Source organism: Homo sapiens, chromosome 17, assembly GCF_000001405.40.
Source record: "Homo sapiens chromosome 17, GRCh38.p14 Primary Assembly".
Classification (NCBI taxonomy): Eukaryota; Metazoa; Chordata; class Mammalia; order Primates; family Hominidae; genus Homo; species Homo sapiens.
In genome coordinates, this window is record NC_000017.11 from 3,448,591 (window position 1) to 3,462,006 (window position 13,416).

General features: G+C 36.4%; 1 protein-coding gene across 8 annotated transcripts in view; it reads right to left on the reverse strand.

Moving 5' to 3' along the window:
• The window catches only part of SPATA22 (spermatogenesis associated 22), a 73,840-nt gene that overhangs the window by 8,572 nt on the left and 51,852 nt on the right, over positions 1–13,416 (reverse strand). For all 8 annotated transcript variants that reach the window (NM_001321336.2, NM_001321337.2, NM_001170696.2 and 5 more), the window contains one exon: positions 217–559. In NM_001321336.2, the coding sequence (NP_001308265.1) occupies positions 217–559 (343 nt within the window). The remainder of the gene's footprint in view (positions 1–216; positions 560–13,416) is intronic.

The following is a 13,416-nucleotide window of genomic DNA, read 5'->3' on the forward strand; positions in this document are numbered from 1 at the left end:
AAGTTTGAAAGGAAAAGGAGCAGCCATTCATACCCTCTAAGAAAATATTTTGGAAACTAACATTCATCCACTTCAATGGAACTGAATATTTATGCTAATCAAGTAATGTATGTCATGGAATTTATTTCAGGCGCTCTTATCTCTGTAGTTTTCTAAATATTTACCTCATATTTTTAAAAATGTAAATAAGTCATTAATTTGTATTTAAACATTTACCTTCAGGGTGTTGTCTTCTGGAATATCATCCAACATTTGTTTCTTATATTGATTTTGTTGAAAATTGGGCTTAAGTGTCTGTAGTGCACTGTTTTTGTCTAGCCCTCTCATTGTGCAGCCAGATATTTTTGATGAATGTGTTTGTCTGAGTAGCTCGGTTTCTTTGTTGCGAGATAAGTTAGGAGGTTCAGGTATTCTTAATTGTTTTTGTTGTTGAGCTCCCGAACTCACTGGACAAGAATTTTTTCCATCATTTGCCACTAAGTTTGTTCGTTTACATTGAGGCTTAAAATCATTTTTATTCCAAGTTTTCAAGCTGGTATTTTTGTTACCATCTCTGTAGCTGTAATAGTGCAAAAAAAAAGCATTTGTTTCTATATGGTTTCTTAATTACAAAAAAAATTAATAATGAAAAATTCATTTATATGGCAATTTATGACTTAGAAAGCACTTTATAACTAACTACTGAGAAATTCCAAATACATCACAACAACCCTACAATGTTGTACTACCTCTCTTTCCAGATGAGAAGACTGATCCCTAATGAGGAATTAACTTGTCCAAAGTCATACAGGAAATTACTCACAAGTCTAGAACCCAGGAAATACAAGATCTCCCAACTCAGAGTCTAGTACTACAAAGTATATTTTTAAATGATAGCATTCTTCATATGATAGTAGTTGTATCCAAGTGGTAAGACTTTGAGGGCATTTACTTGCTTCTTTATATATTCAATTTTAAAATTTTCTACAAAGTAAAATTTTAAGAAGTTAAACTGTGGCTTAGCAATGATTTTAAATCACAAGGAGAATACATATAAGCAGGATAGATAGCTATTAATATTTGATTAGAAATTTTGTGGTTTTACTGCACAGCTTAAAAGCCCTATAATGTATTTGGTACAGCATTTGTCAGCAACATTAAGTGTGTTATATCAGCTGACCAGAACATTATGCTAGATGCTAATGAGGCCAAAATCAAAAGCATAATTTCTGAGCAGCCTAGTTAGGAGTTCCACAGGAAACAAAACTAGTCTAAGTCACGAATTTTTTTTTTTTCTCTTGGAGACAGGGTCTCGTTCTGTTACCCAGGCTGGAATGTAATGGCAAGAACACAGCTCACTCTAGCATCAATCTCCCAGGCTCAAGCGATCCTCCCACCTCAGCCTCCTGAGTAGCTGGAACTACAGGTGAGTGCCACTATGCCCAGCTAATTTTTGTTATTTTTTGTAGAGACAGGGTTTCACCACGTTGCCCAAGCTGGCCACAAACTCCTGGGCTCAAGTGATCCACCTCCTTGGCCTCCCAAAGTGCTGGGGCTAGAGGCATAAGCCACCATTCCCAGCCCACAAATTCTTAATTCTCAGTAATTTTCCTGGAAATACCACAAGTATCACAAGAGGGCAACCAATACAACCCATCCCCTACTTAGGTAAATAATCCAAAAAGAGGTCTAGGTACACTGCTGACCAGGAACAAATCCAAGTTTTATGAGGTCTGAAGCTTGTATAATTTGGGGAACACTGTTAATTGGGTACAAAGTTAGTACAAAATAACGAGAAAAGAAAGCACAATTACAACAATTTAAGTTATAAACACCACAAACATCACGATACCCAGAAAAAAATTGTTAGAATTATTATAAATTAACTGCCTGATACTCCTTTATAGAAATTTTTTCCTACACTGATCACTTCTTCATACGACAATAATTTTGTAATTTTTTTGGACTCAGGCCAGTCTCAAACCCATGGGCACAAGTGATTCTCCTGCCTCAACCTCCAGAGTAGCTGGCACTACAGGTACGTACCATCACACGCAACAATTTTGTAATTTTATTTTCAATAAAGAGAACAGAAACACAATTTTGTCTTTCCTCACTCTCATGGTTATAGAAATTACTTTTATTATTCATAGTCTAGAAAAATTTATTTCAGCTTTACAACTCTCTGTTCAGCACATTTGTAGTAATGCCAAAGATCACTGATCACAGATCATCATAACAGATATAATAATAATGAAAAAGTTTGAAATATTGCAAGAAGTACCAAAATGTGACATAGAAACATGAAGTGAGCACATACTGTTGGAAAATGGCACCAATCGACTTGCTCAATGCAGGGTTACTACGAAACTTTGACTTGTAAAGAATGCAGTATCTGTGAAGTGCAATAAAGCAAAGTGCAACATAATAAGGTATGCCTATATGAGGAGAGGCTGAGTGGATTAAAGATCCAACTGTATGCTGTCTACAATGAACTCAGTTTAGATTCAAAGACACATAAAAGCTGAGAATAAAGGGATGGAAAAAGATATTCCATGCAAACAGCAACCAAAAGAAAACAGGGGTGGCTAAGTTTATGTCAGACAAAATAGACTTTAAGTTAAAAGTTGTTTCTAAAGACAAAGAAAGTCATTATATAATGATAAATGGGTAAATTCAATAGGAAGACATAAAAATTGTGAACATATATACATCCAATATCAGAGCACCTAAATATATAAAGCAAATATTGACAAATCTAAAAGGAAAAATTGACAGCAACATAATAAAAAAAAGAAAGCTCAATACTCCACTTTTAATAATAGATAAATCATCCAGACAGAAAAATCAATAAACAGTGAACTTGAACAACACTATGGATCAAATGGACCCAAAAGACATATATGGAATTTGCCAACCAACAGCAGAAGACTACACATTCTTCTCAAGCACAGATGGAACTTTCTGAAGGATAACTCACGTTAGGTCACAAAAACAGACTTAACAAATTTAAGAAGATCAAAATCACACCAAGTATCTTTTCTGACCATAATGGTATAAAACTAGAAATCAATAACAGCTAGAAAATGGAAAAATTCGCCAGGCATGGTGGCTTACGTCTGTAATCCCAGCACTTTGGGAGGCCGAGGTGGGCGGATCACAAGGCCAAGAGATCGAAACTGTCCTGGCTAACATGGTGAAACCCCGTCTCTACTAAAAATACAAAAATTAGGTGAGTGTGGTGGCATGCACCTGTAGTCCCAGCTACTTGGGAGGCTGAGGCAGAAGAATCACTTGAACCTGGGAGGCGGAGATTGCAGTGAGCCGAGATTGCACCACTGCACTCCAGCCTGGGCGACAGAGCGAGACTCTGTCTCAATTAAAAAAAAAAAAAAGAAAACCAGAAAAGAAAATGAAAAAATTCACAAATACAACAACACCCTCTTGAACAATCATTGATCAAAGAGGGAATTAAAAAAGAAAATCTTAAAATTATTGAGACAGAAACAAAACATAACATACCAAAACTTATGGGAAAGCAAAAGCAGTACTAAGGGGAGTTTATAGCAATGAATGCCCAAGTGGAAATAAAAAGATCTCAAATAAGCATCCTAACTTCACACTTAAAGAAATTAGAAAAAGAATAACAAACTAAGCCCAAAATAAGCATATAAAGGCAATAATAAGACTAGAGTAGAAATAAATAAAATAGAGAATTAAAAAAAAAAAAAAGCAAAACTGGGACCGGGCGAGGTGGCTCATACCTGTAATCCCAGCACTTTGGGAGGCCGAGGCAGGCGGAGCACAAGGCCAAGAGATCGAGACCATCCTGGCCAACATGATGAAACCCCGTCTCTACTAAAAATATAAAAATTAGCTGGGCATGGTGGGGCAGGCCTGTAGTCCCAGCTACTCGGGAGGCTGAGACAGGAGAATTGCTTGAACCCGAGAGTGGAGGTTGCAGTGAGCCGAGATCGTGCCACTGCACTCCAGCCTGGCAACAGAGTGAGACTCCGTCTCAAAAAGAAAAAAAAAGAAAAACTAAGAGCTTATTTTTTTGAAAAGATAAAGTCGACAGCCCCTTACATAGACTAAAAAAAGAAAAAAGAAGATTTAAATAAATGAAAGAGGAGACATACAATGGATTTCTCAGAAATAAAAAAGATCATAAAGGACTATTATGAACATTATATGACAACAAATTGGATAACACAGAAGAAATGGATAAATACCTAGAAACAAGCAACTTACCAAGATTGAATCAAGAAGAGGCAGAAAGCCTAAACAGACCAATAATAAGGAGATTAACGAAGTAATCAAAAACCTCTCAACAAAGAAAAGCCCAGGACCAGATGACTTCACAGTGAATTCTATCAAACATTCAAAGACAAATTAATACCAATCTTTCTGAAATTCTTTCATAAAACAAGAGGGAATTCCACTTCCAAATTCATTTTATGAGACTAGCATCACTCTGATATCAAAATCAAACAAAGACACTGCTAGAAAACTACAGGCCAATATCACTAAAGAACATACATGCAAAAATCCTCAATAAATACTAGCAAGGCAAATTCAACAGCACATCAAAAAAATTACCTGTCGAGTACTCTGTTCACTTCATGGGTGAGGTGACAGGATCCATACTTCAAACCTTAGCATCACACAATATTCCCATGTAAACAAATCTGCACATGTACCGCTTATATTTAAAGTGAAAGTTGAAATATTTTTTAACAAAATTATACACCATGATTAACTGGGATTTATTTCTGGGATGCAAGGTTGGTTTAACATACGCAAATCAATCAATGTTATACACCACAGTAGCAGAATTAAAGACAAAAATAGATGCAGAAAAAGCATCTGACAAAGTTCAACATCCATTCAGTTTACTCTAAAAAAAATAAGTATAGAAGGAACATACTCCAACACAATAAAGGTCATTTGCAAAATTCCCACAGCTAACATCATAATGGGGGAAAACTGAAAGTTTTTTTTCAAAGATCCAGTACGACGCAAGGATGCCCACTCTCACCACTTCTATTCAAACATAGTTACAGGCTGGGCATTCTAAATCTGAAAATCCAAAACTCGAAATGCTCCAAAATTTGAAACTTTTTGAGCAACAACATGATGCTCAATGGAAATGCTCACTGAAGCATTTCAGATTTTGAATTTTCAAATTTAGGATACTCAACTGGTAGGTATTCTGAAAATATTCCAAACTACAAAAAAATCTGAAACATTTCTGATCCCAAATATTTCAGACAAGTAATACTCAACTAGTCTTGGAAGTCCTAGCCAATCAATTAGCCAAGAAAAGGAAATAAAAGGAGCGCAAATTGGAAAGGATGAAGTAAATGTCTCTGTTTGCAGATGACATGATCTTGTATGTAGAAAACCCTAAAAACTCCATTAAGAAACTGTTAGAACTAAAAAATGAATTCAGTAAAATTGCAGGATACAAAATCAACATACAAAAATCAGGAGCATTTCTTTACACCAACAATAGATATTCCAAAAGGAAACCAAGAGAATGATCCCATTTACAATAACACCAAAAAGAATAAAATACTTAGGAATAAATGACCAAGATAGAGAAAGGTCTATACACTAAAAAATATAAAACAGATTAAAAAAAAAAAACCTGAAGACAAAATAAATGAAAAATCCTGTGTCATGGATTTGAAGAATTGATATTGTTTTTTGTTTTATTTATTTATTTATTTTTATTATTATTATTATACTTTAAGTTTTAGGGTACATGTGCACAATGTGCAGGTTTGTTACATATGTATACATGTGCCATGCTGGTGTGCTGCACCCATTAACTCATCTTTAGCATTAGGTATATCTCCTAATGCTATCCCTCCCCCATCCCCCGACCCCACAACAGTCCCCAGAGTGTGATGTTCCCCTTCCTGTGTCCATGTGTTCTCATTGTTCAATTCCCATCTATGAGTGAGAACATGCGGTGTTTGGTTTTTTGTCCTTGCGATAGTTTACTGAGAATGATGATTTCCAATTTCATCCATGTCCCTACAAAGGACATGAACTCATCATTTTTTATGGCTGCATAGTATTTCATGGTGTATATGTGCCACATTTTCTTAATCCAGTCAATCATTGTTGGACATTTGGGTTGGTTCCAAGTCTTTGCTATTGTGAATAGTGCCGCAATAAACATGCGTGTGCATGTGTCTTTATAGCAGCATGATTTATAGTCCTTTGGGTATATACCCAGTAATGGGATGGCTGGGTCAAATGGTACTTCCAGTTCTAGATCCTTGAGGAATCGCCACACTGACTTCCACAATGGTTGAACTAGTTTACAGTCCCACCAACAGTGTAAAAGTGTTCCTATTTCTCCACATCCTCTCCAGCACCTGTTGTTTCCTGACTTTTTAATGATCGCCATTCTAACTGGTGTGAGATGGTATCTCATTGTGGTTTTGATTTGCATTTCTCTGATGGCCAGTGATGATGAGCATTTTTTCATGTGTCTTTTGGCTGCATAAATGTCTTCTTTTAAGAAGTGTCTGTTCATATCCTTTGCCCACTTTTTGATGGGGTTTTTTTTTCTTGTAAATTTGTTGGAGTTCATTGTAGATTCTGGATATTAGCCCTTTGTCAGATGAGCAGGTTGCGAAAATTTTCTCCCATTTTGTAGGTTGCCTGTTCACTCTGATGGTAGTTTCTTTTGCTGTGCAGAAGCTCTTTAGTTTCATTAGATCCCATTTGTCGATTTTGTCTTTTGTTGCCATTGCTTTTGGTGTTTTAGACATGAAGTCCTTGCCCATGCCTATGTCCTGAATGGTAATGCCTAGGTTTTCTTCTAGGGTTTTTATGGTTTTAGGTCTAATGTTTAAGTCTTTAATCCATCTTGAATTAATTTTTGTATAAGGTGTAAGGAAGGGATCCAGTTTCAGCTTTCTACATATGGCTAGCCAGTTTTCCCAGCACCATTTATTAAATAGGGAATCCTTTCCCCATTGCTTGGTTTTCTCAGGTTTGTCAAAGATCAGATAGTTGTAGATATGCGGCGTTATTTCTGAGGGCTCTGTTCTGTTCCATTGATCTATATCTCTGTTTTGGTACCAGTACCATGCTGTTTTGGTTACTGTAGCCTTGTAGTATAGTTTGAAGTCAGGTAGCGTGATGCCTCCAGCTTTGTTCTTTTGGCTTAGGATTGACTTGGCGATGCGGGCTCTTTTTTGGTTCCATATGAACTTTAAAGTAGTTTTTTCCAATTCTGTGAAGAAAGTCATTGGTAGCTTGATGGGGATGGCATTGAATCTAAAATTACCTTGGGCAGTATGGCCATTTTCACGATATTGATTCTTCCTACCCATGAGCATGGAATGTTCTTCCATTTGTTTGTATCCTCTTTTATTTCATTGAGCAGTGATTTGTAGTTCTCCTTGAAGAGGTCCTTCACGTCCCTTGTAAGTTGGATTCCTAAGTATTTTATTCTCTTTGAAGCAATTGTGAATGGGAATTCACTCATGATTTGGCTCTCTGTTTGTCTGTTATTGGTGTATAAGAATGCTTCACAATTAAAAGAACTAGAAAAGAAAAAGCGAACACATTCAAAAGCTAGCAGAAGGCAAGAAGTAACTAAAATCAGAGCAGAACTGAAGGAAATAGAGACACAAAAAACCCTTCAAAAAATTAATGAATCCAGGAGCTGGTTTTCTGAAAGGATCAACAAAATTGATAGACCGCTAGCAAGACTAATAAAGAAAAAAAGAGAGAAGACTCAAATAGACGCAATAAAAAATGATAAAGGGGATATCACCACCGATCCCACAGAAATACAAACTACCATCAGAGAATACTACAAACATCTCTACACAAATAAACTAGAAAATCTAGAAGAAATGGATAAATTCCTCAACACATACACTCTCCCAAGACTAAACCAGGAAGAAGTTGAATCTCTGAATAGACCAATAACAGGAGCTGAAATTGAGGCAATAATCAATAGCTTACCAATGAAAAAGAGTCCAGGACCAGATGGATTCACAGCCGAATTCTACCAGAGGTACAAGGAAGAGCTGGTACCATTCCTTCTGAAACTATTCCAATCAATAGAAAAAGAGGGATTCCTCCCTAACTCATTTTATGAGGCCAGCATCATCCCGATACCAAAGCCGGGCAGAGACACAACAAAAAAAGATAATTTTAGACCAATATCCTTGATGAACATTGATGCAAAAATCCTCAATAAAATACTGGCAAACCGAATCCAGCAGCACATCAAAAAGCTTATCCACCATGATCAAGTGGGCTTCATCCCTGGGATGCAAGGCTGGTTCAATATACGCAAATCAATAAATGTAATCCAGCATATAAACAGAGCCAAAGACAAAAACCACATGATTATCTCAATAGATGCAGAAAAGGCCCTTGACAAAATTCAACAACCCTTCATGCTAAAAACTCTCAATAAATTAGGTATTGATGGGATGTATCTCAAAATAGTAAGGGCTATCTATGACAAACCCACAGCCAATATCATACTGAATGGGCAAAAACTGGAAGCATTCCCTTTGAAAATGGGCACAAGACAGGGATGCCCTCTCTCACCACTCCTATTCAACATAGTGTTGGAAGTTCTGGCCAGGGCAATTAGGCAGGAGAAGGAAATAAAGGGTATTCAATTAGGAAAAGAGGAAGTCAAATTGTCCCTGTTTGCAGACGACATGATTGTATATCTAGAAAACCCCATTGTCTCAGCCCAAAATCTCCTTAAGCTGATAAGCAACTTCAGCAAAGTCTCAGGATACAAAATCAATGTACAAGAATTGATATTGTTAAATGTCCAAACTACCCAAAGTGATCTACAGACTCAATGCAATCCCTATCAAAATTTCAATGATGTTTTTCACAGAAATAGAAAAAACAATCCTAAAATTCATATGGAACCACAAAAGACTCTGAATAGCCAAAACAATCTTGAGAAAGAATAAAGCTGCAGCCATCACACTTCCTGATTTCAAGTTATACCTAAAAGCTACAGTAATCAAAACAGTATGGTACTGGTATTAAAACAGGCACATAGATCAACAGAATAGAGAGCCCAGAAATAAACCCATGCATTTACATTTAATTGATTTTCAACAAAAGTGAGAAGAACACACAATGAGAAAAAAAGTCTCTGCCATAAATAGTGTTGGAAAAACTGGATATCCAGATGCAGAATAATGGAACTGAACTCTCACCTTACACCATATACAAAAATCAACTCAACATGGATTAAAGACTTAAATGTAAGAACTGAAACCATAAAACTCTTAGGAAAAAACGCAGAGAACAAGCTCCTTGACACTGGTCTTGCAAATGACTTTTTTTAATATGACACCAAAAGCACAGTCAACAAAAGCAAAAGGAAATATTTGAGAACTACATCAAACTAAAGAGCTTCTGCACAGTAAAGGAAATAATCAACAGAGTGAAAAGGCAATCTATAGCATGGGAGAAAATTTTGGCAAACTATGTAACTGTTAAGTAGTTAATATCCAAAATATTTAAGGAATTCACAGAACTCAGTAACAAAAAACAACACAATTTAAAGATGGGCAAAGAACCTAAATAGACATTTTTGTAAAGAAGACACACAGATGGCCAACAGGTATATAAAAAGGTACTCAACATCACTAATCAGCAGGAAAATGCAAATCAAAACTACAATGATATATTATCAATTCACACTTGTTAGGATAGCTGTCATCAAAAATTCAAAAGATAACAAGTGTTGGCGAGGGTGCAGAAAAAAGGCAATCCTTGTACACTCTTGGTGGAAATGTAACTTGATACAGCCATTATGAAAAACAGTATGGAAGTTCCTCAAAAAATTAAAAACAGAACTACTATATAATCTAACAATTCCACTTCTGGATGTATATCCAAAGGAAATGAAATTAGTATCTCAAAGAGATATCTGCATTTCCAGATTCATTGCAGTATTATTCACAATAGCCAAGAGGGCCAGGCACGGTGGCTCACACCTGTGATCCCAGCACTTTGGGAGGCTGAGGCAGGTGGATCACATGAGGTCAGGAGTTGGAGACCAGCCTGGCCAACATGGTGAAACCCCATCTCTACTAAAATACGAAATTAGCCAGGCATAGTGGCACATGCCTATAATCCCAGTTACTCGAGAGGCTGAGGCAGGAGAATCACTTGATCCCAGGAGGTGGAGGTTGCAGTGAGCCAAGACCACACCATTGCACTCACATTGTCTTGTTGCCACTGCCTGGGCAACAAGAGCGAAACTTCACAAAAAAAAAAAAAAAAAAAAAAAAATTCCAAGATACGTAAACAATGCAAGTGACAGATAAATGGACTAACAAATGTATCATAAAGAGATAACGGAATACTATTCAGACATTAAAAAGAAGTAAATCCTGCCATTTTTGACAACATGGATGAACCTAGAGGATGTTATGCTAAGTGAAATAAGTCAGACACAGAAAGAATGTGTGGGATCTTTACAAATCAAACTCATAGAAGCAGAGCGTAGAATAGTGGTTACCAGGGGTGAAGAGGTGGGAGAAATAAGGTGATGTCAGTCAAAGGGTACAAACTTTCAGTTACATAGAATGAGTAAATTCTAGAGATCTAATGTAGAGCATGAGGACTATAGTTAATAATACTGTGTTATACAGATGAAAATCACTTAGAAGGTAGATCTTAAGTGTTCTCACTACAAGAAAAAAATGGTAATTATGTGAAGAGATGGATATGTTAATTAGCTTGACTGAAATCAGGTCACTATGTATATGCATATTAAAATATCAGGTTGTACACCTTAAATATATATAATTTTTTTTAAAAAATACTTTTTTTGAAACAAGATCTCACTTTGTCACCCAGGCTGGAGTGCAGTGGCAGGATCTCAGCTCACTGCAACCTCCACCTCCCAGGTTCCAATGATTCTACTGCCTCAGCCTCCCAAGTAGCTGGGATTACAGGCATGCGCCACCACGCCTGGCTAATTTTTGTATTTATTTGGTAGAGACGGGGTTTCCCCATGTTGGCCAGGCTGGTCTCAAACTACTGACCTCAAGTGATCCGCCCGCCTCCGCCTCCCAAAGTGCCGGGATTACAGGTGTGAGCCACTGCATCTGGCCCTAATTAAAATTTTTTTAAGATAACAATAGAAATACAATATTCAACTGCAGTCAGAACTGTTAACAAAGATGAGACTGTCAAGAGAGTGTTCCAGAGGCAAATAAAGTCCAAAAGAAAATATTCCTCATATCTTTGGCCATCCTGAGCAAGTTGAAGGAGATCTAAAAGTTTAAAAATTTAGTTATATGGATATTGGGGGCCTGCCACCTCCTTTTATGAATTACTGACTTAAGTTATATACTATTTTATATTATTAAACTTTTATAATAGATCTGTGTAACAAGAATGGTTGAAAGACATGATGTGTTATAAGAAAACAATTCTGGGTGAATCAGAGCAATAGGCATTCTAAGTATTCCACACACAAGCACGTTAGATAAATTCATGTATTTGTAAAATCCTTAATCAAGGGTTTTCTTGGTAATGATAGACAAGACAGCACAAAGTTATATAAATACATCAGAACTGTGTGTTTTATCCACAATATATATTGAGCACTGAAGGAACCTTAGATATCATCTAGTTCAATTTTTTTCCCATGGATAAAGACATAAGACTCAAAAAAGGTGAAATGGCTTTTTTCTGTTCAAAAATAAATTAATGATTAACTCTGGATCAGTGCAACTATGAATAATTTTCTTTTTACCTTTTTTCTAGAATTATTCTATTATTTTCATAATGAGAATAGTAAGTTATTTTAGAAAAAAATAATATCCTTATCTTCCCTTAAAATTTATGCATTTATCTGAACCCGTTTGCCAGGTTGTGTTCAGTTCTCAGCTTCTAAAGCCTTCATCTCACCGAGCACAATAGTGTATGCCTGTAATCCCAGCACTTTGGGAGGCTGAGGTGAGGGAATCACTTGAGCCCAGGAGTTCAAGACCAGCCTGGGCAACACAGCAAGGCCTCATCTCTACTAAAAATGTAAAAATAAGCCAGGCATGGTGGTGCAAACCTATAGTCAGTCCCGCCTACTCAGGAGGCTGAGGTAGGAGGATTGTTTAAGCCCAGGAGTTCAAGGTTGCAATGAGCTATGATCATGCCACTGCACTCCAGCCTGGGCAACATGGCAAGATCCAGTCTCAAAAAAAAAAAAAAAAAAAAAAGATTAAAAATGTTAAAAGTCCTCATATCACCTCAACTCCTCAACTGAGATGTCTTAACTACTAAAAGTACAAGCTCAATGTCTCCTCAGAGTCTAAAGCCAATTGTAGGGGCTTTGGCAAAGAAGCTCATCCTTACTAATCTTACTAATTGTCCATATCCTAATACTGGTGAATGAAATCTATATTGATAATGTATCTAATAACACAGTATCTATAAGAATAGGAGTGTACTTTGCTCTTGAAAACTCCATGCCCCAAGAAAGTATAGACTAGGCTGCTAGAAACAATACAGGATGGCCAGTTAAATTTGCATTTCAAGTAAGTAACAAATTTTTGGTATAAGTATGTCCCAAATATTGGCTGTGACACATACTAAAAAATTCCTGATTACCTGAAATTCAGATTTAACTGGGCATCCTTTATTTTTATTTGCTAAATCTGGCAACTGTAGCCTGGACTCTAAACCTGAAGATTAGTCCTTTAACTGGTTCAAAAGATCTTCAGCAGATTACCAACTGCCTGCATGGATTTTTAAATGTTCTGTACTCCTGGATTTCCTGTTGTATTCCAACAGTCTGACAGCTCATGTATTAATTCAAATTGTAATATCCAATACTGGCTGCCTGTCCAGATTACAATCTGTTTACCTAATTATCTGTCTAATGCTTGTCAGAATGGATTTTCTTCTAGCTCCTGCAGTTGGAACAATGTCTCTAAGAACCATCCCAAACCACTGAACAGGCCTAGTTTTAAGGCCTTGTTATGAAGAAACTGACAGACTGGTCCTGGGGAAACTAGCATGAATAATAAAATCAAAACTAATTTTTAAATAAAGATATTATTTCAATGTATTTATTAACAACTATATAAAAAGTTCCCCCTTTTAAAAAAATACGATATCTTTATATAATAAAAATGAGAATAGTATTAACTTCATATGGTTGTTGTAAGGATTATTGAAATAACATATCAAAGCACTTAACAGTGACTGATTTGGTGTTGTTTTCCCAGCACTTTGTTTCCAAAATCATTTCCTTCTATATTGCCATTTATCCAAGGCTACTAAAATCCAACCAAGAGAAATCCATGTTCTTTTTCTATCAATTTTTTCATACTATTTAAACATTAAGCTTTGGTCCTTATGGCAAGAACCCTCACCATCTTTTTGACCAGCTTCTTCATTTCTTGAGCC